This window comes from Homo sapiens, chromosome 6 (genome assembly GCF_000001405.40).
Source record: "Homo sapiens chromosome 6, GRCh38.p14 Primary Assembly".
Classification (NCBI taxonomy): domain Eukaryota; kingdom Metazoa; phylum Chordata; class Mammalia; order Primates; family Hominidae; genus Homo; species Homo sapiens.
In genome coordinates this window covers 133,703,579-133,730,202 of record NC_000006.12, presented here as the reverse complement: position 1 = coordinate 133,730,202, position 26,624 = coordinate 133,703,579, and the positions used below count along the sequence as shown (strand labels likewise).

The 26,624-nt window shown below is 35.6% G+C and overlaps 1 long non-coding RNA gene across 1 annotated transcript in view, besides 1 other annotated feature; it reads left to right on the top strand.

Annotated features, from left to right (window-relative positions):
* TARID (TCF21 antisense RNA inducing promoter demethylation) overlaps positions 1-26,624 on the top strand; it is a 386,755-nt gene that overhangs the window by 158,804 nt on the left and 201,327 nt on the right. The window lies entirely within an intron of this gene.
* Positions 22,385-22,585: a silencer, noted in NCBI's record as "peak6128 fragment used in MPRA reporter construct". NCBI's record gives its function as "represses an SCP1 promoter by STARR-seq MPRAs in K562 erythroleukemia cells {active_cell/tissue: K562}" and the evidence as "EXISTENCE:reporter gene assay evidence [ECO:0000049][PMID:32103011]".

Genomic DNA, 26,624 nt, shown 5'->3' with positions numbered 1-26,624 from the left:
CTGATCATGCTTCCTCTGCTCCCCACTGTTCTCAAGGTAAAGACCAGCCTCCACAGCAGAGTGTACAAGACCCTTCACTGACTGAGCTTTGCACTCTCTCCAGCCTCAGCTCTTGCCCCATTATCCTCATATCTACTCTGTAGGCTCCAGTTCTTTTGTATTCTCTGTGTTTCTAAAACATATTCTATTAAGCCTATTTTGGTGAAGTGTTCCTTCAATATCCTTCTCAGCTTTGGTTAAGTGTTCTCCCTATGTGTTTCCATGGAGCAAGGCAGTTCGCCTCTACCTGCCCATCATATGGTATTGAAATTTTGCTTTTGCTTGCCTGTATCTACCACAGAAATCTAAACTTCTAGAAGGCAGAGCCCTCTTGTAGACTATTGTTCTCTAACATATCATACAGTAGGTGCTCAATATAAATTTACTCACTCAATCAATAAGTTGCAATGCATTCTAGGAAGGTTAAAAAAATGTTCTGTCTAGAAAGGCCATGGCTGTCAAGCACACAAATGTTTTCTTATGCAATTCTTTCTTATATCCCCTTTCTAATATCTCTTTCTTATATCTCCAAGATCTCTTAGTACTTTCAAATAATGATGGAATACCTAAGCCTCTTTGACATTCCTTCTCTTTCTCTACAGCTCTAGCATGTTTTTGCTTCCAATTATATTTATTCTTTCTTTATTTGTTAAAGCAAAGAAAATGGTGTAGGGGTTCCTGCTTCTCATACATTATTTCCAGAATAATTTCACCTGCCTTCCCTTTTCAATGCATCATTATTTCTGGAATAATTTCACTTCTTTTCAATCATTTTTATAAAAGTGACAGATTACACATATTACTATACCATTTGACTGCTAAGCCATAATGCTGAGATATTTTACTTTTCCCCAAATTTGTAAGGTTTTAGAGCTTTTAGCTACTTGCACTATTACATCTTTGTGCTGCTATGTAATAATAAGCTGCCTTAGCTTGTCTAAGGGTCCTAGAACTGTTTAGATTTCTAAGGTAGTAAGTTCAAGGAAAACTTACCCAAGGTCTTTATACTCAAACCACTCTGCTTCAATGTTTATACTTTATGGTAAACATGTCTATAAGACTATACATTTTATACTTTTACATTTTTACGAGGTCATAATGACAAGGAATGCCACATCTGTACATCTGAAAGTGGCATTTACTTCCTCACATGTAAGATAAGCAGACTTTTTATGATATCTTTATATGTTTAATTAGTTCTGGCACATCAAAATTCACCCTCATTAATTGAACACGTAAATATTTGGAGACTATGTGTCTAATAGTGATATGACTTCTAATATTTTAATAATAAAACCTTTCCAACAGACAGACATAAAGGGATGTCAAATTCAGTTTATAGGCCAGGTAAATGTTAATTGCTAAAGGTCTGTAATGATTCAAACTTTATAGCTGTGTTGGAAAGACCAATACTGCATATTGCATATTAATTTAAATTTGCGGTGTCCTCCACATTGGCATTAGCTTGTTTCCTGTTTAATCTGATTGTCATGTAATTTAAGTAGAGGTTACTTCAATATTTCTGGTTTTGTGAATAAAATAGTTCAGCTCATCTGCAAGGATACAGCTCCCTTCCTTTGCTTGTACGACCTAAACTAAAATAGAATAAGTTACATCTGGGCTTATTGTCAGAAGTGGGTCCTTGTTAAGGTGTTCTATAGTTAATATTAGGAATTTATTGAGACACTGCCTCCCAAATTCTCAGGACCAGACCCTTCAAGTTTTTCTCATGGATGGACCCTTCAGGTCCATCCTCCTTGTCATCTGTGGTGCCATCAGCCCCTGGCAAATTTCTTCTTTACTATAGGGAACTGTCCTGTACAGGTGGTCAATACTGATACCAACACCGAAGCCTCATGTGGCGGGGAATATGGTGCTTCTCTTTAGTACTTTATAGCACATCATCTCAGATTTCCACTTCTAGCATGGTTGAGTAAGCTCCTATTGGACCATGTCTTTTTACAGATAGTAACTGTAAACTCTGAAAGAAATACATATTTAACAACAATAACAGCAACAACCTGAAGGCACTGATGAGTGAACAAAAGCAGACATGTGGGAGAGTAGTCAGCACTGGGAAGACGGGAGCCACATGGGTGAGCTGCCCATTTTATGTGGCCTTTAGCCTGAGGGCAGACCAAGGATAGTGCTGTACTGGGTGGCTAAAACTGCAATAGAAAACCCACAGTATTTCTGGATTTAAGAATCAGAAGCCAAAGTCTAGGGCAACCACAGGTGTTGGAAAATAAAAGAATGAGGAGAAAATCCTGGAAAGAAGAGAGCCAGAGAGTACATCTAATTCTGTGCATAAATTCTTCCCAAATCTCTGACTGACTCTTGGACTGTGTATGTGTGAGACAGACTCAAAGATGCTCGACTAAGGATGAAATAACTGAATAGGGTTTTGAGCTGTCATTTGTGGTTTGGTTCAACCAAGCTAATTACCTGTTACACAAACAATCCTCTTTAGAGGATTTTTGACATAACCTTGAATCTTTGCAATATAACATTATCCATACCCAGGACAAAATCCAAAATTACTTACCATACAAGGAATCAGAAAAATGTGACCCATTCTCAAGAGAAAAGACAATCAATGGAGATAAACCCTGAGGCTTAATTCAACCATGTTTTGAAATTTGGTGACAAGGATTTTAAAAGAATTATTTTCAATTCTTTGTCAGCCAACTATAAATCTGTATTTCTTTAGGGTAGTTTTTTTTTGAATTTTACTTTGTTCCTTTGATCAGGCTATCTTTACCTGTTTTTGTCTGCTTTGTAATCTTTTGTTGAAATTGGGGCATTAGAAAAAACAACCACCTCTCCCAGTCATTATGGGATGGCTTTATGCAGGGGAAGACCTTCATCTCTCAGTCCTGCTAGAGGTTCTAGGACCTCTGAAACATTTTCCAGAGACGTGTCTTCTCTGAGTTGTGCATGTGCTTTTTGCTGTCTTAAATTCCCTAAAGTGCTTGCCCCTGCTTCTTCTCAGAAGGCTGTAATCTCTTGCTCCCCAGCATATGCCTATAAAACTGTAGCTGTAACATGCTGCAGCACTCATCTCTGTTTTCAGTGGCTTCCAAACTATGCTGCCAGTCCCATCAGCACTTCAAGTCAGGCAGTCCCTTTGCAGCTCCCAGACAAGCAAGAAGACTGGATGCACAGTCCATTCTTTTGTTCTGTCCTTAGGGAGGAGCCCTAGTATGAAATATTTCTTCCTGTGGCACCTCTATGCTGGGTAGGAGAGGGTCAAATATGGGTGCATAAAATGCAATGAATTTTCCTACCTCTTTCACTGGGATTGCTTCTTGATTTGATGTTGGCTTGAGTATTGTAGCTTTTCAACTGGTCCCTAGAGTTCTCACAAAGGTATTCTTGTGCACATATTGTTATAGTTATGTCAGTGTCTCTGTGGGGAACTGAAGTTTACTCATCTGTCATCTTGGTGACATCACCCTCTAACAAGGATTTTAAAGTAGCTATTATAACTATGCTCAAGGACATAAACAAAAGTGTGTTCACAATGAGTGAAAAGATAAGAATTTTCAGTGGGTAATTAGACTATTAAGGAAACACATGGAAATTGTAGAGCTAAAGATACAATAACTGAAGGAAAAAAATTACTAATTGAGCTTAACAACAGATTCAACGCAATAGAGGAAAGATCCAGTACATTTTAAGATAGATCAATAACAATTATCCAAATGTGAAGAACAGAGAGAAAAACATTGAGTGACTAGTTTCTCAGGAACCTGTGCAACAATGTTGAAGGTCTAGAATATGTGTAATTGGAGTTACAGAAGGACATAGAGAGAAAGAATGAGGGCAAAAAAATATAATAGCTGAAAAACGTCCCAAATTTACACATTTAAGAAGCTCAACCCAATGCACACAGAGTAAAAAGCAAATCATCCCTGGGCACATCCTACACTGCTCAACACTACATAAAAGTAGAAAAAACTGAAATAGCCAGGGAAAAATAACATATTAAGTATAGGAAGATATTGAGTCCAATGACTGCCAAAGTATTTTCCCTATGTTTTCTTCTAATAGTTTTGTAGTTTCAGGTCTTACATTTTAAATCTTTAATCCACTTTGAGTTGGTTTTTGTTTATGGTGAGAGACAGGGGTCCGGTTTCATTCTTCTGCATATGAATATTCCGTTTTCTCAGCACAATGTATTAAAGAGGTGGTCCTTTCTCCCATGTATGTTCTTGGTGCCACTGTCAAAAATCAGTTGACTGTAAATACATGAATTTATTTCTGAGTTCTCCATTGTGTTCCATTGGTCTATGTGTCTGTTTTTATCTCAGCACCATTTTGTTTGGGTTACTATTGTTTTGTAGTATATTTTGAAGTTAGGTAGTGTGATGATGCTAGTTTTGTTCTTTTTGCTCAGAATTGCTTTAGCTCTTTAGGGTCTTTTGTGGTTCCATATGGATTTCTAAGATTGTTTTTTCTATTCCTGTGAAGAATGACATTGGTATTTTGATAAGGATTACATTAAATCCGTAGATTCCTTTGGGTAGTATGGCCATTTTAACAGTATTAATTCGTCCAATCCATTAATATGTGAGGTCTTTCCATTTTTGTGTATGTCTTGGGCAAAGATTGTATGCTTCTATATTGACCTATTCTTAGGATGATCTCAATGAGAATTTTCTTTACCTTGAGGGGAAGTTCAGCTCTAACTCTTGAAGCATGCATGGCCCTATGAACCTGACAGAATAGTCACATAATGGCTTCACAATCGTATATTCCCTAAAGTCATGCTTATTTGGGCTTGAATAGCCCTACAATTGTTTATCAACATTCAGCCAAGATTAGTTTACTTGAATTTGAGCCTAGTTTCTTTTCAGTCTTTCCTCATCAGATATTGAAAAATTTTCTGCCAAGGCTCACTCAGGGTTAACCTGTAACACATATAAAAAAATGTCTAATTGTACTCACAATTGAATATCTGTTTATTTCCAGGTTACAAAAGCATATTCATTTAGAAAACTCGTTCACATATAAATTTATGTAAGTGGTTGTTTAGTTATACCTAAAAGGGAAGCCTGGGGTGGTTCTCAAGTAGTCTTTGATATGTAGCCAACTCCTTAGCAAGTTGCTGGGCCTCTCAGGGCAAACAAGTGATCACCCACACTACCACGAACATGGATTGCGCATCTTTATTCTGTATTTTTATCCTTTGGCATACATTTGGTACGAATACATGGGTCTTACTCAAGTTCCGTGGTATATCTCAGCCCCAAATAACTGTGTATTCTTAAAAAGAAGGAAATATTTCACACATTCCTTGAATTCCTTTACCATGAGGGAGATGCCTCATCTTCTTAAATGTATTCCAACTTAACAGAGCCACCCTCATCCATTCATCTTTGTATCCTTGGAGAACTGAAAAAAAAAAGTACACTCATTGGGAACACTTCATTAATTTTTTTCTTTCGGTTCTCAGAGAGTAGATAATTGCATTAACCATCTTTCTCAGTTCATGGCACACTCTCATCCTCAGTCCATAGGGGTTTCTATGTTGTTTCATTTTATATTTCCTTAGACCAGCATGTAGTGCATGATCTATATCTTTGGATATATATGTACATTTTAAATAATTTAATTTAATTTTTAATCAACAGATAATCATATATATTTATGGGGTGCAATATGCTGTTATGATAGATGTACACATTTTAGATTTGTATATTCTCATAATATATATATTGCTTTGGTACATATGGGTTTTATATTTACAGTAGCATTGTGCTATAGAACTTGCTTATTCTTGGGCCGGGCACAATGACTCAAGCCTGTAATCCCAACACTGTGGGAGGCTGAGGTGGGTGGATCACCTGAGGTCAGGAGTTCGAGACCAGCCTGGCCAACATGGTGAAATACCCGTCTACTAAAAATACAAAAATTAGCCAGGCCTGGTGGCACAAGCCTGTAATCCCAGCTACGTGGGAGGCTGAGGCAAGAGAGTTGCTTGAACCTGGGAGGCAGAGGTTGACTCCGAGATACACCACTGCACTCCAGCCTGGATGACAGAGCGAGACTCTCTCTCAAAAACAAAAACAAGGCCGGGCGCGGTGGCTCACACCTGTAGTCCCAGCACTTTGAGAGGCTGAGGTGGGCAGATCACAAAGTCAGGAATTTGAGACCAGTCTGGCCAACATGGTGAAACTCCGTCTCTACTAAAAATACAGAAATTAGCCAGGCCTGGTGGCAGATGCCTGTAATCCCAGCTACTCAGGGGGCTGAGGCAGGAGAATCGCTTGAACCCAGGAGGCAGAGGTTGCAGTGAGCCAAGATTGCACCACTGCACTCCAGTCTGGGTGACAGAGCGAGACTCCATCTCAAACAAAAACAAAAACACCCAAACTTGCTTATTCTTTTTTTCAGAATAGTCAACATAATGCTTTTTAAGAACAATTCATATGTTATGTATACATTTATTGGTTTTATTTCTAATTGGTACCTAACACTACAAGGTATACATCTACCAAATACCCTTCCACATTTCCTGGTTATGAACACTTAAGGTGCCCCCAGTTGGTGCCATAATGCATATCCTTGTTCAGTTCTTTCAGGTGTATACCCCTGAGTGGAAATCCTGGGTCATCAGATGGACAGAAATTGCCCTGTAGGTAGGCTCCCACCTGCGGTGCATGAAATTTCTGTTTCCACCTTCCTAAATCTTACAATCTCTTGGCATAAAGTGGTATCTCATTATTATTTTATTTTTATCTGACATTGAGTGAGGCTAATATCTCTACATATTGAATGTTTTTACTGCCAATTTATATCATTTGTTTGTTTTCTTTTACATTTCTTGCTTTTTATTTTTCATTTGCAGGAGTTCCTTATATATTCCGGATACTAATCCTTCATCAGTTTTAGATATTTACAAATATAGTCTACTAATCTGTCATTCACATATTAACCTTGTATGTGGTATATTTTGTTGAACTGAAAAATGTAATTGCAGTGAATTAATAAATATTCATCTTTTTTCAAGTTAGAGCTCATGTTTTTAGCATCTTAAGTTCTAAAGATTTCAAAGGCATTATTCTTCTTTTTAAACTTTATAGATTTACCTTTTACATTGAAATATTTATCTCAAATTCATATTTGCCATATGTTTTAAGATTGAAATCCACTTTTTTTCCAAAAAATAAGCCCCAATTTTCCCAACCCCTCAACTATGCAATCCATTTTTCTCAATGATTTATAGTATAATATTTAGCATGTAGAGCGTCTCCATAAATACGTTGGCCTGTTGGCAAGCATTCTATTCTGTTTCACTGATCTATTTGTCAATTCCTCTATCGATATCATACTGTTTTTATTATTATGGCTTTGTGGTGCATCTTAACATCTCATAGGCTAGGCTGGAGTCCCTCCTATTTGTTCTTCCTTATCAAAATTGACTCAGCTTTTTGTTGAATAGTTATTTACACAGTTGTTGGTATACGTATGTCAGGGTCTTTAAAATATTCATTTTGAATTTTGATTGGGAGTTGATAGGGTTTGGTTCTGTGTCCCCACCCAAATCTCATGTTAAATTGTGATCTTCAGTGTTGGAGGATACACCTGATGTGAGGTAATTGGATCATGGGGGCACATTTCCCCCTTGCTGTTCTCATGATAGTGAGTGAGTTCTCATGAGATCTGGTTGTTTAAAAGTGTGTAGTACTTTCCGCTTTGCTCTCTTCCCCTTTCTGACATGTGAACACATGCTTGCTTTCCCTTCGCCTTTCTGCCATGACAGAAAGTTTCCTGAGGCCTCCCAGCCATGCTGCCTGTACAGCCTGAGGAAGTGTTAGTCAATTAAACCTCTTTTTTCATAAATCATCCAGTCTCAGTTAGTTATTTATAACAATGTAAGAATGGGCTAATACGGGAGTGTAAAGAATTTGAAGATAAATTTGGAGCAAGATCATTATCTTTATTAGGTTAAGTCACTCCATCCATGAACATGGTAATCTTTTCTTCATTTATTGAGATTTTATTTTATTTTATTTTTTTTTTATGTTCTAAAATTAAACTTTAACAATTATCCATGAAGTCTCCTTGTGCATTCTTTTTAGATTCATTCCTGAATTCCATTTGTTTCTTTGTTTCTGTTACTATAATGAATGGTGTCTGTAGTACTTTGTACTGTGTCAGCTTGGTCAAATTGGAACTATGTTTCTCAGAATTCCTTTCCCTGTATGTTTGCATATTGTCTAGAGTTGGTCAAGAGAGGAGTTTGTGTGAGATTTGGAAAGCTAAAGTGAGAAGTGGTCATTATGATCTGACAGTTATTGTGCTTAGCTGCAGTGACAAAGAGACACAGAGGTGGCATCGGGTTCCAGCTTATCTTCAGTATTGTCTGTTTCACATCCAGCTCTTCCCAACTCCTGACCCTATTGACTAATAGCAATCCCAGATCCATCACCAGATTCTTAGGAGCAAAACTATAGAGGTGTTAGCAACATAAAAGGACAGCTTCTCATAGACCTTTTCAGGAACCTTCCCCTTCCAGTCTGATTTAGATGGCAAAATATGCTAGGCTTCTCAGATTGATTGACTGGGGGCTCCTCTGGTCTCCAAACTTTCCTCTTGGAAATTTGCTTCCGCACTTCCTCCTACAATGAAGTTTAACTTCTGTAGTAAATCATCATTCTATAACTCAGTGTGTTTCTGCATCCTGTCTTGAATCTTTACTCATAAAGTACATTGTTTTCTTGTGTATTTTTTCTGATTTTTTTTTTTACTGTTAATGGTTTTTATTTATTTTTTATTGTATTATGATTAGAGAATTTAGTTTCTTTCAGTTTGAATTCCTGGGATTATTTGTGGCCCAGAGCATGAAATTTTTATAAATATTTCAGGAAATCTTTTTATTACTATGAGCTTTGTGATCATGGTACTCGTATTTACATTTTCATGTATTTTTTATTTGCTTTAATAATCAAGATAAATATTCATTAATATTAGTAACTCCGTTGTTGTTCTGCCTGTATCTCTCCATAGTTATTTCAGTTTTTCCTTTTTATATTTTGAAGTTACATGGTTCCATGCGTATTTATTCAGGATAATTAAAACTTTTTGATCAGTTACTTATTTTACTTGTAAGAGTATCCATCTCAGTGCTTTATAATGTTTTCCATCTTAAGTTGAAGCCAAGTTTTCTTTTGGTGTATATTTTTATGGTATATCTTTTTTATTCCTTTACTTTAAGTATTCTATATTAGTTAGTTTTTAGTATGTGTTTGTTGAAAATATCTCTGAATGTTTTAAATTCCAATTTTGAATGTCTCTGCTTTTAGGCCAAGTCATGCATATATTCAGTAAATACTTATGTATGCTTACTGTGTGTCAGACATTGATCACAGATAAGAATCCTTGTTGTGTGGAATGTGTGTGCTAGGTGGGACACACAGCCCCACCAAAATGTTTAAGTAAAATATATAGTAATATGATAAATGTTATAAAGAAAAATAAAGTAGGAAAGTGAAAGTAGTGAGAGGAGGACATTGATCAGAAAAGGCCTCTTTGATAAGGTGGGATTTCAGCAAAGACCTGAAAGAGGTAATAAAGTGAGTCAGGGTCCGGTTGAAGAAAGAGAATTTTAGGGAGAGGAAAAAACTATTGCCAAAACCCAGATGTGAACTAGAGGAACAAAGAAGCGGCCAGTGTGCCTGGAATTGAATAACTGAATGGTGAGTGGTAAGAGATGAATGCAGAGAAGGCAGGGGAGGCCAGAATGCGTATGGTCTTGTACAACCAAGTAAGGACTTTACTGTGATTGGAAGCCAGTGCAGGATTTAGAGCAGAGGATTGATGTGATCCCATTTACATTTTAACAGATTCTTTCTATTTTTTTTTTGTTGAGAATGAATTCTAGAGGGTAGAAGTAGGGAAGATTGATAAAATAATAATACAGGTGAGGAAAGGTGATGGCTTGGACCAGTGTGCTCACGTGAAGGTGCTGAGAAGTGATGAAATTCTGAATATATTTTGAAGGCAGAGCTGGAAAGCTTGGATTGGATGATGGATTGGTTGTGTTGTGAGAGGAAGCAGAGACAAAGATGACTTCAAGGATTTTAATTTTCCTAAGCAACAGGAGAGAGTTGCCAATATCAGCAAGAGACAGCAAGAAGAGTGTGTCTGAGAGGAGGATAGAGGTCGGGTTTTGGTTTTGCTCAGTATGTGCTAAGTTTGAGATTCTAATTAGACATTCAGAAGAAACTAATGAGCAGGCAGTTTAGACACACAAGTTGAGGCCTCAATGGAAAATTGCTGAAGATGTACATTTAAGAGTTGTTAGCTTGTAGATGGTATTTAAAGCCTTGGGGTAGAATGATACCACAAAATGAATTGAGTGCAGTGAAGAGGAAAGGTTCAAGGTTTGAGATCTGGAGTACTAGAATATTCAGAAACCATGGAGATGAGGTGAAATCTGTACGAGTGATTAAGGACAGGTTAATGAAGTAGAAGGAAAATTGGAAGATTGCAGGGTCCTAGAAGGAACTGGTTCAACTGTATCAAATTTTCCTGATAAACCAAGTAAGTTTTGATGAACTCACTTATCACACTGTAGAAATTTATTTCTGTAATTTCATTTCACAGTTTTTATTTACCATACTTTCTTTTCTGTATTTTCTTTTATTTTTCTTTTAGGAACAGAGTTTTGTTCTGTCACCCAGGCTGGAGTACAGTGGCATGATCACAGCTCACTGTAACCTTGAACTCCTGGGCTTAAGTGATCCTCCCACCTCAGCTCAGCAGGTGGAAATAGCCTGCACCTGGCAAATTAAAAAAAAAAAAACCTTTTTTAGAGATGAGGTCTCACTATATTGCTCAGACTGGTCTCGAGCTCGTGGACTCAAGCGATCCTCCCACCTCAGCCTCCAAAGAAGCTGGGATTACAGGTGTGCACCACTGTGCTCGAATTTATTTTCTGTATTTTCACCTTTCTCCATTTGTTTGGCTAAATCAAATTTTCTTCTACTGATTTGAAAGATATTTATTTTCCTGGTTATTACAATGACTTATGACATATATCTTTATTTCTTGATTATCTTCATTAAGATATAATTTTTATAGGAAAACAGGCACATATTTTGCTGTACATTTTGATGAGTTTTGACTGATTTGAGCAATTGTGTGACTATCACACAATATGAAGCCATTCCATCACTCCCAAGACTTCCCTTGTGCTCTTTGTGCCTCGATCTCACCTCTGCCTCTCATTCCCACCCTCACTACCCAACCCAGATAACCATGACTCTGCTTTGCCTCACCTTAGGTTAGGTTGTTTTCCTTGTGGGGAAGGAGGGGTCAATATAATTAATATAATGTGACTCTTTTGTGTTTGGCTTTTTGGCACAGCATATTTTTGAGATTTATTCTCATTGTTGTGTACATGAGTAGTAGTTTCTTTTTGTGATATTCAGTTGTATCAATATACCACAATTTGTTTATCCACTTACTCATTGATGGACATTTAAGTTGTTTCTAGTTTTTGACATTTATGAATAAAGTTGCTGTAAACATTGGTCTACTAGTCTTTGTGAATACATATATTTTCATTTCTCTTGGGTAAATTCTTAGGAGTGAAATTATGAAGTCGTATGACTAGTATAAGTTTAACTTTATAAGAGACTGGCAAATTATTTCCCAAAGTGGTTTTAGAACTTTTCATCTCCACCACTATAACATCTAAGCATATCATTGGCTTCATATCCCCTGCCCAGTTTCTGTTGGGTTGCTTGTCTTCTAATCATATCAAGAGTTCTTTATATATTCTGAATACACATTGTTTATAAGCAGGATTGCCAGATAAAGTACAGGACAACCAGTTCCCTTTGACTTTCAGATAAACAACGAATAATGTGTCAGTAAATCTATGGTCCTAATATTACATGAGACAAACTTAGGCTCAAAAAATCATTTGTTGTGTATCCAAAATGTGAATGGAACAAACCTGCACGTGTACCCTTGGATGTGTGGATGTTCTTTGTTTTTATTTGTTAAACCTGATGTCTTGTCTGTATGACACATTTATTGGAAACGTTTTTTCCCTATTCTGTGTCTTGTATTTTATTTTCTCGTGTTCTCCAAAGAGCAGATATTTTAAATTTTTATATAAATCCAGTTTGTCAACATTTTTAAAGGGTTCATGCTTTTTGTATCCTATTTCAGAAAACTTTGGCTACTTCAAGGTCACAAAGATTTTGGATTTGTTTTAATCTACAAGTTTTATAGCTTTGACTTTTATATATAAGTCTGATTCATTTGGAGTTAATTTTTGTGTATAGTGTCAATTAAGGGTCTAGGTTCATTTATTTTCTTATGAATATCCAGTGGTTCCAACAGCATTTATTGAAAAGACATTCCTTTTCACATTCACATGTCCTGGATTCTTTGTTGAAAATTAAGTATATATGTATACATATACACACTTTATATATATGTGTACATATATATATATATAATATGTAGAAGTTAATGGGAAAGAAGAGAGTCCAAAGTAGAATATATATAGTTGAAAATTGATAATTAATAACTAGTAAATACTTATTTTTTAACTTTTAAGTTCAGGGGTACAAGTGCATGTTTGTTACATAGGCAAACTTCCGTCATGGGGGTTTGTTATACAGATTATTTTGTCACCCAGGTATTAAGCCTAGTACTCATTAGTTATTTTTTCTGATTCTCTCCCTCCTCCCATCCTCTACCCTCCAAAAGCCCCCAGTGTGTGTTGTTCCCCTCCAGGTTTCCATGTGTTCTCATCATTTAGCTCCCACTTATAAATGAGAACAAGCAGTATTTGGTTTTCTGTTTCTGTGTTAGTTTGCTAAGGATAATGGCCTCCAGCTCCATCCATGCCTCTGCAAAGGATATGATCTTATTCTTTTCTATGGCTGTATAGTGTTCCATGGTATAAATACTTAATTTTCAACTATATATGTATATTTTATTCTGAAATCTTCTTTTCAAATTTGTATGTCTGTTCTTTATCTATGCCCTTATACCACTACCATACTTTATTGATTATTAGAGCTTTATATTAATACTAAATCTAATATTAACACTAGAGCTTTATATTTGTAACATGTCTTAAAATCTGATAGTTTAAGTCCTCCAACTTTATTCTTCTTTTTAAAAATTGCTTTGGCTATTCTAGGTAATTTACATGCTTTTATGATGGGTAGTTTAGGCTTCATCTGTAATGAACTTGGTAGTCTCCAGTAGCTAAAATCACATGAATTTGGTAAGGTTTTTCATTCAGTCAAAGGGTAAAAAATTTCTTTAGGTCGTTAAGAATGAACCCCCAAAATAGGCATTTAGAGATATAAACTATTTGATTTCTGATTTTATATTTAGTATTTCCTTCCTACTACTTATTTCGAGTTTAATTTTCCCCCTTTTTATTGTTCTTTAGGTGAAATGTAGATTATTGATTTTTAGACCTTTCTTTTGTGAAAATTAATTATATACCTTGTGTTATTCTTGTCATACCGAACTAAATCAGAGTTAAGGGCCAGGAGGAAAAATCACTCAGGGAATATAGCACCAGTTCCAAGAATTATCTGCAAGCCTAACTACTGAAACAGTCTGCTATAGCCCCAGTACCAGTTTACCTAGTAGCTGCTAAACAACGTGCCATGCCTCCAAGATTGGTTTTACCTATGGCCATCATTCACCAATCAGAGCTTGCCAGCTCCCCAAAACTTTGCTAGTGCCAAATCTTCTTGGCCCTAGCTTTCTTTCAAAACAATATGTAACATTTCTCTTTCTAATAAAACTCTCAACCTTTTCTTCTTTGAATGTACCAAAGACTACCCTGCTCTGTGTGTATGACCCGAATTGCAATTCTGTTTTTATATATGTGCATTCCCAGAAAAAATGTTTTGCCTAGAGATTTGTGTCTGTATTTTTATTTGACTTTGACACTTTTAATGTAATATAAGCATTTAATGCAGTACTTCGGTAACATCCCAAAATTTTTTGGGTGTTGTTTCCATTTTCTTTAGTTAAAAATATTTTTTAATGTTCCTTGTGACTTATTTTTTGATCTTGGAATGATTTGGCACTATATAACTTTTAGTTTTTGGAGGATTTTTTTCAGATATGTTTCTCATACTGATTTCTGGTTTAATTTCCCTCTTGTCAGAAAAGATAGTTTGTATATTGCAAATTTTAAAAAAGATATTGAGACTAGGTTTATGGACCAGAATGTGGTCTATTTAAATAAATGTTTCATGTACACTTAAAAAGAACATTTATTCTGCTGGCAGGAGGCTGAATGATGGCCCCAAAGATATCAGGTCCTAATCCCTGAGACCTGCAAATGTTACCTTATTTGGAAGATGGGTCTTTGCTAATGTGCTTAAGTTAAGGATCTTGAGATGGAGAGATTATTCTAGGTTGTCTGAGTAGGCATAATGTTATCACATTGGTTCTTCTACTCCTTTATAAGGACTATAAAAGGGAGGCAGGAGAGTCAGAGAAGATGTCCATGGTAGTAGAGATTGGAAAAATATGATTGCTGGCTTTAAGGATGGTAGGGGGCCATAAACCCAAGAACATGGACAGCCTCTAGAGGCTGGAAAAGCAAAGATTCTTCCTTAGAGCCTCCAGAAGCAACGCAGGCCTGCCAGCACCATCATTTTAGCTTAGTGAGAATTCTGACTTCCTGTCCTATAAGGTAGTAAATTTATATTTGTATTTGTGGTTTGTGGTGTTTGTTCTCTGAATTCGTTGTACTTTTCAGAGAACAATAGCAATAGGAAGTTAATACAAATGCTCCATGTGGTTGTTTTTTAGAAAACTATAATTCTGTTTCTTTCCGAATTACTGTAGACAAGCTAATTATTATGTATCTTATAGGATAGTTTTCCAAATTACAGAAAATACTGAGTAAAAAGGAACACAAGTCAATTCCTTCTATGAAGTAAATGTTCTGCAAATGTTGATCTCGTTTGCTCTCCTCACATGTTAGGAAGTACAGCATCGTTATGGAGTTCTAATCAGAATGAATGAAATAATTGAAACAATGCTTTACAAAGATATATCTTGCAGCAGTTGCAGATGGGTGAGCAACAAGGGGCTGCTGCAATGATCTAGGTATTGGGTGATAAGGTACTGGACTGGAGTGAAGACAAAGGTAATAGAAAGGAAAGGAAAAGTCCGAGAGATATATCAGAAGAGCTGGTGAAATATTGAATGTAAGGAACAAAAAGGAGAAAAGAACCAAAGATGACTTTTAGCAAATATTTTCCCTCCAGGGCTAAGTTGAAAAGCACCATGTAAACCCTTAAAACCTAGGAAGTACATGAATACCAGTCAAGGCCATTGTTATCTCTGACCCTGAGCTAATGTGAGAAGCCTCTATTGCTAGTGCTCCAGACCATCATCCTCTAAGTTGCCCATCTTCTATGATAAATTCTTGACAGCAGCCGTAACAAATATGGTCTAGGACAGTGTTTTTCAAACTCTAGTCCATGACCAATTAAGTGTCATGAAATTGGTGGTATGAAAACAGCATTTTAAAAAAATGTAATAGAATATGATAAAATAATAGAGAAAATATGTGTATGTCAATTGTAATAGTAGGAATTATTTTATTTTTATTGTGTGTTTGTGTGCGTGTGCCCACACTGGATTGCAATGCAAAACATCTTTCTTATAGATTGCTGTCAAAAGCGTTTGAAAAATCTGATGTAAGAAGCATCAGCCTATGCATGCCCTGTTTATATTACGGGGGATTGAGGGGTAGAAGATGAGGTCAGCCTCCGGGGCAATGCAGAAATCACAAGTTCCTTTCATTCTCCACTGTCAGAGATTAATCTCAGGCTAGCAGAAGCATAATAACCATCTTAATTCTCTATTAATTGACATTTATAAGGCAAATCTATTAAGCCTACATGTTTATGGGGTAGGCCTTTCGATAACCTAGCCCTCCCTTTGTAAATAATAACCATTCATTTAACATCCATTTGAGAGATGCATACTTTCATGGATAATTTGGCTAGTTCATGTTTTGTGGTATTCCAAGGCTTTTCATGTACATTTTAAAATCAGTATAATTCCTATATTAACTAATTATATCAGCATCCACATTTCAGACATGGATTTATGATGAGTATCTAGACTCCATTTATAATGAACTATGGTAAGGATCAGTAGCCAAAATCACGTAGATTTTGGTAATGTATTTTAATTCATCTAAAGGCTAAAAAAACATTAGGTCATTAGGAATGGATCTTCCAAATAGGCACTTAGAAATTTAAAATATTTGTAAAATATTTTATGTCCTGAACTTCAGAGTGCCTACTATCTTTTAATAAATCTTTGCTTTATGGAAAGGTGGAAAGTTATTTGAAATCAACAACTCAGTATACTAATTGCAATTAATTAAGATAAAATTAATGGTAGCATAAAGATTTCTTTTATAGAGGCAAAGTAATATAATAAAGTTGAAATGGAAATGAATACATGATAAAATTCCATTTGAATAAGGATTGGAACACCTCGGGGCCTTTCACAAGCAAAATGATTGATGAAGTGTCCAATTCAGTTTTTAAAGCACAAGATAAATCTTAATGAGATAAATTAAGATCTCAATTTTAAAATTAGTCAGTAGTTATTCAAATGAACTAGACACTCAATGCTAGGTGATCCCCTGATCAGCTCTTATTTGTTTTACAATTATATTTTTAAAAAGGATGCAGGGGATAATTTGTTACTTTATAAATTATGTTTTCCTTATACCTAGAAAAGAGCTTCCTATGGAAGACACTGCCGTGATTCTTGGTCATACATGTTGTAGGATTTTTTTTTTCATTTCCTATGAAAGACACTGCCATGATTCTTGGTCATACATGTTGTAGGATTTTTTTTTTTCATTTCATGGAATTTAGTGTTACCAGTCTCTAACATTTTAGTTTTGAACAGATTTCAAAACAAATCCACAGACACATTTGGACATTGGTTATTTTGGGCAAGTGTTGGATAAGTGAATATTCTAGAAGTTTCTGACATTGTGCCAAATGTGTTTAAGTCTAAGCCATAAAGTCATGTTTTTAATGAAACTTTGAGGTTTGCCAAGAGGTACATTTTTTATATGTTACCCTACTACATTCAAAGGACTTGTCTAAAGAGAGGTTGATAGAGGGCAGTCAAGTCTTTGCACTGCATAAGTTATGTCATTAGGTGTCTGAATATGGATTGACTTGTTCTGAAGACCTAAAAACTAAACACTGCTGAGAGCTAAATCCTGTGACAAATGAAAGTTCTGTGCAAAGATCACAAACAGCATATAACAAATGGAATTTCTAAAAATTGCACTATAATATATACCTGATAAATGGTCATCTAAAACTGTAATTTGGGGGAGAAAAAGAATTTAATGTTGCTGCTTCAGGATAGCAAGAATTGTTTAAAAATGTAACATACACATTGGAAGCAGAAAAGATTAATGAATTCAATTTAGTGTTCAATGTAAAGAAATTTGGAGGAGGTGAATTAATGATGAAACCAGATTAAAGTTATTGCATTAATCTGTTCCCTCTGAGATTCTTGTTGAAACAAAGTTTTTGAGAAGGCAGCCTATCAATTGGGAGAAAATATTTGCAAACTATATATCTGATAAAAGGTAAATATCCAAAATATATAAGAAACTCATACAGTTCAACAGCAAAAACAAAAACTAACAGCTGATTAAAAGATGTGCAAAGGACCTGAAAAGACATTTTTCCAAAGAAGATATGGAAATAGCCAACAGGTGTATGAAAAGGTGTTCAACATCACTAATTATCAGGAAGTACAAATCAAAACCAAAATGAGGTATCACCTCACACCTGTTTGAATATCTTTTATCAAAAAGACAAGAGATAAGTGTTGACTAGGATGTGGTGTAAAGGGAAATCTAGTACACTGCTGGTGGGAATGCAAAATTGGTGTGGCCATTGCGGAAAATGGTGTGGAGGTACCTAAAGAAACTAAAAATAGAGTTACCATATGACCTACACTCTCTCTTCTGGGAGATGAAATCACCACCTTGTGAAGACATCTGCACTCCATGTTCATTGCAGCATTATTCATACTAGCCAAGATATGGAAACAATCTGAATGACCATCAATGAATGAATGAATAAAGACAATGTTATATATATACAATTATATAAGCATATATATGTGATCTATATATACACACACAATTGTTATGGTACATATATATATATACACACACATATACCATATATATATATACACCATATATATATATATATAATGTTTTTAAGGCTGAAGAATATTCCATTATATAGTAGAATATTATGGGCAGGAATATAATGGCAGGATTAGAGATGCTGCCATTTGCCACAACATGGATGGACCTGGAGGACATTATGCTAAGTGAAATAAACCAGGCACAGAAAGAAAGATACCGGATGTTCTTGCTTATGTGTGGAATCTAAAAAATATATATCAAATACATAGAAACAGAGAGTAAAATGGTGGTTACTAGGGATGGGAGCTGAGGGGGGAAATGGGGAGATGTAGGTTGAAGGGGACAAACTTGTAGTTATATAGGATGGATAAGTCTAGAGTTTTAACGTGTAACATGGAAACTATAGTTAATGCATTGTATAGTGGAAATTTACCAAGAGAATAGATTTTACTACTTTACCACAAAAAGAAGAAAGGTACTATATGAGATGGTGGTTATGTTAATTTGCTTGGTTGTAATAATCACTTCACGATGTGTGTGTATATCAGAACATCATGTTGCACTCTTTAACTATATAAAATAAAACCAAAAAAAAGTAGGAAAAAATAAAAGGAAAAATCTTTTGTATTATCTGAGGTAGAATATTTAATCCTGCCTTTAAGGTAAGACCAAATGGCTATTTGATGAAATAAGGGAAAGTCCAACTGCAGTGCTCCTAGGGTCCTCCCCTCCACATACACAAAAAAGATTCTTGCAATTATATTTTTAAAATAATTTATCATTATTAATAACAACATATTTTATTGAATAATAATTCATATTACACAAGTATTAAGTAAGACCTTTTTTGTGAGTAGTGATTTAAGTCAGCCATGTGAGTCAAATTTTAGAGTTATTACTATGACTAATGATATGGTTTGGCTCTGTGTCCCCACCTAATTCTCACCTTGAATTGCAATAATCCCCAAGTGCCATGGGTGGGGCCCAGTGGGAGATAATTGAATCATGGGACAGTTTCCCCCATGCTATTCTTGTGATAGTAAGTTATAACAAGATTTGATGGTTTTATAAGGGGCTTCCCCCTTTGCTTGGCTCTCATTCTTTCCCTCCCTGCCGCCATATGAAGAAGGACGTGCGTGCTTCCCCTTCCACTATGATTGTAAGTTTCCTGAGGCCTCCCCAGCTATGTTGAACTGTGAGTCAATTAAACCACTTTTCTTTATAAATTACCCAGTCTTTGGTATGTCTTTATTAGCAGCATGAAAATGGACTAATACAACTAATATCTGAAAAATTGATATCAAATCATTTAACCAGCTGAACTGGTATCCGTACTAAGTAGTTCATAGTCCATTTGACTATATTTCTTTCTCAGATTTTTTTCATTCCTTGGGCATGGCTACTATCACTAGTGGAGAAAACAATTAATTAGGAATCATAATATAAAATGATGGAGTTGGAGTTGAGATTAATAGCCGGTACCCAGGATTTGAATTATACTTTTAATAATCAAATAAGACTCAGTCTATATAAGTGCAACTTAGTGCACATTTACGCCTTCTCTATATTGATTGATTTATTCAATATTTATTATTGTGTATCAGACTTTGTGTAATTCATTGCATGTACAATAAGGAACAAGAATGAAGAGGTCCCTTCCCTTCTCTCTTCCTCCATTCAACTATTTTGAATTATCTTACTCCCCTTCCAGAATATAGACTCTTTAAACAGGCTCTATGAATCTTTTAAACAATTTTTATCATAGTACTTAGTACAAATATTTTGCAACAAATTTGCAATAGTATATGTGCAATAAATATGTAAATAAAAAGAAAATTTACAACTGGAAGTAACTTAGACATAATATGGTGTAATATGCAGAAGATTGAAACTGGACCCCTTTCTTACACCATATACAAAAATCAACTCAAGATGAATTAAATACTTAAATGTAAAACCCCCAATTATAAAAACCCTAGAAGATAACACAGGCAATATGTTTCTCAACATAAGAACGGGCAAAGGTTTCATGACAAATATGTCAAAAGCAATTGCAACAAAAGCAAAAATTGACAAGTGGGATCTAATTCAAGTAAAAAGCTTCTTCACAGCAAAAGAAACTATCAATAGAGTAAACAGACAACCTACAAAATGGAAGAAAATATTTGCAAACTGTGCATCCAACAAAGGTCTATTATCCAGCATCTATAAGAAACTTAAACAAATTTACAAGCAAAAAACAATCCCATTAAAAAGTAGGCAAAGGACATGAACAGACACTTTTCAAAAGAAAACATACATGTGACCACCAAGCCTATGAAAAAAGCTCAGTATCATTAGAGAAATGTAAATCAAAACCACAATGAGATACCATCTCACACCAATTCAGAATGACTGTTATTAAAAAATCAAAATATAACAGATTCTGGGGAGGTTGCAGAGAAAAGGCAATGCTTATACACTGTTGGTGGGAGTGTGAATTTGTTCAACCATTGTGGAAAGCAGTATGCCAATCCTCAAAGAGTTAAAAGCAGAACTATCACATGACCTAGCAATCCCATTACTGGGTATATACCCAGAGAAATATAAATCATTCTACCATAAAGACACATGCATGTGAATGTTCATTGAAGCACTATTCACAAAAGCAAAGACATGATGTCAACCTAAATGCCCATAAATGACAGACTGAATGAAGAAAATGTGGTACATATACACCATGGAATACTATGCAGTCATAATAAATAAGAAGATAATGTCTTTCTCAGGAACATGGATGGAGCTGGAGGCCATTATCATTAATAAACTAACACATGAACAGAAAACCAAATACATCTCACATATAAGTGGGAACTAAATGATAACTCATGAACACAAAGAGAGGAACAATAGACATTGGGGTCCACTTGAGGATGGAGGGTGGGAGGAGGGAGAGCATCAGAAAAAATAACTATTGAGTATTAAGCTTAGTACCTGGGTGCCAAAATATTCTGTACAACAAATCCCTGTGCAACAAGTTTACCTATATAACCAACCTGTACATGTACCCCGAACCTAAAATAAAAGTTAAAAAAAAGAAAAAAGAAAGAAATGATATGGTCTAATGACTTAACTCCTATGGATAACAAAACAGTTAGGCAACTTACCCAAGGTCCATAGTTAATGACACAGGCAGAACTAGGATTCAGGTTTCTTAGCTTAGGTTTAGGGCTTGTTATTGTCAGCTCTTCTATTTCTAGGAAGATGATTTTCATAGAAACTTTCAAGGATGAAATAAAACCTGTGTGTTATATCAGAATATTATATTAATAACTATATTATGTTAAAATATGTACATTTCACCTAATTAGAAATGAATATAGTGAACAGATACAGTGGTGGTGAATTAGGGAAAGTAGGATGATGTTGAAGATAATGAATGAGTCTGACTTATGTATAAAATATCATCAAAGATGAAGGCAATTACTATGAACCTTATAGAAAGGAAAAAAATACTAGTACAGAAATTTGAGAAAATCATTAATAAATAAATGATTAATAAATGAATTATATGCCTCCAATAAATATAGAATAATGAAGAAGAGGGAAGCATCTGAGAATAGACTTTCTGAATTTTATATTTACATTCTGAGATTTAAAGTAGAAGCTTGAGGATATGGTAAAATTTTGTTATAAACAAATATACCATATACTTAAGTCTACAGAATTTTGAATACTATATGCTACATATAATTGAGTTTTATTAATTCAAGTGATATTAAAGATGCACATTAATTTTATCAGGGGGTTGATTGAGTTAGTATAGGCTATTATTATAATAATTAAACTGAAGGAAAACAAGAGAGATATTCTAAACTTATAAATGTGGTAGGTCAATATGACACTTTGAGTTTCCAGTCTTCACAACATTTTCCTCAATGTTATGGTTTTAATCTTCATGTAAGCTCAGTGAATTAAGTGAGAATTTTCTAAGTATCTACATTTGACAAATAGGAAAACACATGTGTAGAATGACATTTTTGACTTATGCTTATATGATTGCAGATTTGTATACAAAACCAGGTTGCCTTATTTTGAGTTCGTTGTTAATTTTCTTGGTTCATCCCTGATTAGTGAGTCATCTTGAAGTAACGTCATTCAGATACTTTATTAAGCATTTTAACTCATAGACGGCTCAGCAATACAGAAACAATTTTAAGTATTACCAGCAGTAATAAACAGAATACGCCGAATTTGTTGCTGAGGAAACCCACAGTAGCTTTCAGAAATCACAGGAAACCACAGTCAAGATTTCAGCTGCCCACACCATCAGTGAGTGATTTGAAGGAAATTGCTCACACCACAACAGAACTGCACCATCTGTCAAAGCCACTTGCTAGAGGGGTAGTAATGGCTCTGCCTTCCCTCAGCCTTTCACACTCCATGTAAATGCCTCTTGTTCTCAGGCTCTGAACCAGAATCCTGCTGGCAAGGGATTCTGGAAGAAGTGCTCCTTGATTCCAGCTCCAGCATGGGATACAGGGGAACAGGCAAAGCATGCTTGTTGCCCCTGATAAAAATAACACATTGTCCTTCGACATACAGCTTATAAAATTTCTTAAGAACAAGCTATTTGTTTCTAAATTATTATATATTTGAGACCTAGATGTTTTCTATGGATAGTGTGTACTAAACATATGTTTATTGCTGCTGCTGATAAGAGCATTATGGTGGTTTTCTGTAACTTGCTTTAGTGTTATATTGTTTTTGAATGCACTCATAGAAAAATTGTCAAATCTACTGTATCCATACTTTAAAATAAGTCTTTTGTTAAATCATCAGCAATAACAATGAATTAGTAATAGTGGCAATAAAAGTAATATGCAAACACTTACTGAGTTTATAGACTATTTCCAGTGTGGTACTTAGGGTCCTTTACATCTCTTGTTCCAAATCTTACCACAATTCTGCTAGGGAGCTATTTCACATTCCACTTTATAGATGAAGAAGCAAATATCAAGAAATATTAAGTACTTTCCCAAGATCACACTTATTCAAACATAAGTCTGCCTGACTTCAAACATGCTTCTCCTACAACATTTGTTAATTTAGATTATGTGAACACAAGTAAATACAGCATATATATACATTACTGTAAATACATTACATCATTCAATTTTCAATTTGTTCCCATAGTAGAAAATCAGAAGAGAAATTACCTTTCTCTTCTTTTTAGTATTTTAAGTTAACTCTTTGTGAAAACAGTAACAGAAACTGTGACAGAATGTGAAATTGCATTTAATATAAATATGGTTCTCAAACTTTAAGCCCCATAAGGTCAATTACAAAACAGCTGTCTCCTAAAATGTTATTTTCCAGCAAAACAAAAAAATCCATAAAGGATCTTCTTTGTCTGTTTTCTGCTACTGCCACAGAATACCACAAATCAGGTAATTTATAAAGGAAAGAGATTTGGTTTAAGGTTCTACAGGCTGAGAAGTCCAAGATCGAGGATCTACATCTAGTGAGGGCCTTCTTGCTGCATCATAACATGGCAGAAGGGCAAGTGAGCACACAAGACAGACAGCAAATGGGGGATGAGCTTATCCTTTTATCAGGAGCCCACTCCCACAATCACAGTCTTAATCCACTCATGAGGGCAGGGCTCTCATGACCTAATCGTCTCGTAAAGGCCCTCCTTAATATTGCTACAGTGAGAATTAAATTCCAGCATGAGTTTAGGAGGGGGCAAACATTCTAGCCATAGCAGTCTTCCTTTAGTGCTTTGTTTTGAAAAGCAGTGGCAATGAGAAACATCGAGAATACCCTTGCCTCGAGAGATTGGTGTCTCCTGTGTTTCATGTTTTTTCTCCTGCCATTCTACTTTTCCATTTTTTTTCTTTTCCAAAGCATGTTCATTTAGAGCCAGCTAGGGTCACCTGGCAAGCTGTCTGTGTAACAACTGCTTCCACCACTGTCACTACAGGCCTTCTGGATGTTCATTTCATTCCAATTCTCTGACTAAGTTGTATCAACAATCTCCATATTATTCTGAGAAAATTGCAGTAGGTGCAGCTAAACTCCACCCAGTTAAAGTATGGTATAAAAAATCTTATGAGACCACTGTTGTATATGTGGTCTGTCATGAACGGAAATGTTATGTGGCATGTGACTGTACTAGAATTTATTTTGTGGAGGAAATGAAAAATAACAGTAATGTATAAAACAATAGTTCTCAAACTCTTTGATCTCAGGACTCTTTTAAACATTTTTATAATACTGAGGATTCCAAAGACCTTTTGTTTATTTGTGTGATATTGATCAATATTTACTGTATCAGACAAAAGCGTAAATGCACACAATCCCACAAAATTTTGCATTCCACTTCAAAGGGCCCCTTGATTCCCTTTGTGGTGCATCCACAGATTATAGATCAAAAAACTAATATATTGGAATTTGAGCTTAGAATACACGTCTGATTTTGCCAGAACAATTTGGATTGGTTCTAAAAAACAAAAAACTTCACAATTTTGGTTTTCTATTGCTGAGCTAAAATATTCTATAGTATAAATCATGCTGCTGGGCTAGATGGCCTTTAAAATCCCTCCAAACCTAGGATTATATTGCATTATGATTCATCCTTATTGGCTAGTTAGACTGTTCTGATTTCACTGCTCTATTGCACCACCGTTACTTCACTCAAGTCATATCCAACTGGCCTCAAGTTTATTCCCCAGAAACTGTAGTCATAAATTTATCTTCCAATTTCCTTTGCTTAATTTGGAAAACATTTAGTGAATTTAAAAGTCAAAGAATAAAAAGCATGGCAAATAGCTTATTTATTACACAAGTACATACTTCTCATGACAAGGAACAAGAGAGGAAGTATCTTTTGGCCATAGCATTTAATTTTCACAATTCACAATCTTCTTTAGCTTGTCAATTCCATTGTTTCCTTCTTTTCTACACTACTTTTTCAACAGAAAAATATTTCCATTTTTACAAAAGGACATCTTTATCCAAGTGTGCATACCCAATGAGCAAGATCTCTTCTGCTTGAGAAGGGCTACTGTGCCATAAATCAGCAAAGATATTTTCAGAAATCCCAAGAGCAAATTGTGACCTTGAATATATCATGTATTTTCCAGGACTTTTGAAAAACTTTAGAGGCAGAAAACTCACTAAACATTAAAATTTGTGTTTGTGTAATATGAATCAGCCAGTTGGTTACTAGAAATTGCAGCTCTAAATGTGGATTTTCCAAATATAGGAATGTTTGATATTTGAAAGAAAAAGTTCAGACTTTAAATTAAATGCATGTAAGTGAATCAGCAAATCTGAGTCTGCCTAAATTTTCTCAAAATGAGATTTGATTTAGCCTCAAGTGTGAGTCAACTAACTGGCTACTTACTAACTGGTGTTATGGCCTTTCCAGTTGCCTTTCTGCCTTGTCCTCTTTCCTGCCTAACTTGAAATTTTCACTATACAAAATTCCTACATGTAACCTAGACCAGGATGCTAGCCTCTCACTAGTACAGAGCAGACCAGGGCATTATTGAGTTGATGCCTTGCTTCTGAGGATAACACACATACTTTAATGCCAGTAAAAGGAGAAAACTGAAGGCTGTATTCTCAAATCTACACACACACACACACACACACACACACACACACACACACTCCTTCCTGAAAAAAGCAAATCTGAGTGTTCTGAATGATGGAATAAGCTTAGGGACATCAGCACAGAGCTATCATCAGCATCAGAGCAGTGAAGATATCTAGAAAACACATCACCTGCTTTACGTTTTTTCTATCATCAGTGCAAGGGTCAGGGAGCCCTAAAATTTTCTTTCTTCCAAGATGGGGAGTTCTAGAATGGTCCATAAAATAAGTATATCTGTGTTTTCTCTCCAACTGAATCATTCACGTGTTACTTTCTGGCATGTCCCACACCTAAGGAACCGCTGCATTGACAAGTGTAAATAATACATCTTAAGACCAGGTATGGTAGGTAGCTCATGCCTATAATCCCAGCACCTTGAGGGGCTGAGGTGGGAAGATCGCTTGAGGCCAGGAATTTGAGACCAGCCCAAGCAACATAGGGAGACCCACATCTCCACAAAAAGTAAAAAATTATCTGGGTGTGGGCTGGGTGTGGTGGCTCACGCCTGTAATCCCAGCACTTTGGGAGGCCGAGGCGGGTAGATCACAAGGTCAGGAGATCGAGACCATTCTGGCTAACACAGTGAAACCCTGTCTCTACTAAAAAAAATACAAAAAATTAGCCCGGTGTGGTGGCGGGCGCCTGTAGTCCCAGCTACTCGGGAGGCTGAGGCAGGAGAATGGCGTGAACCCGGGAGGTGGAGCTTGCAGTGAGCAGAGA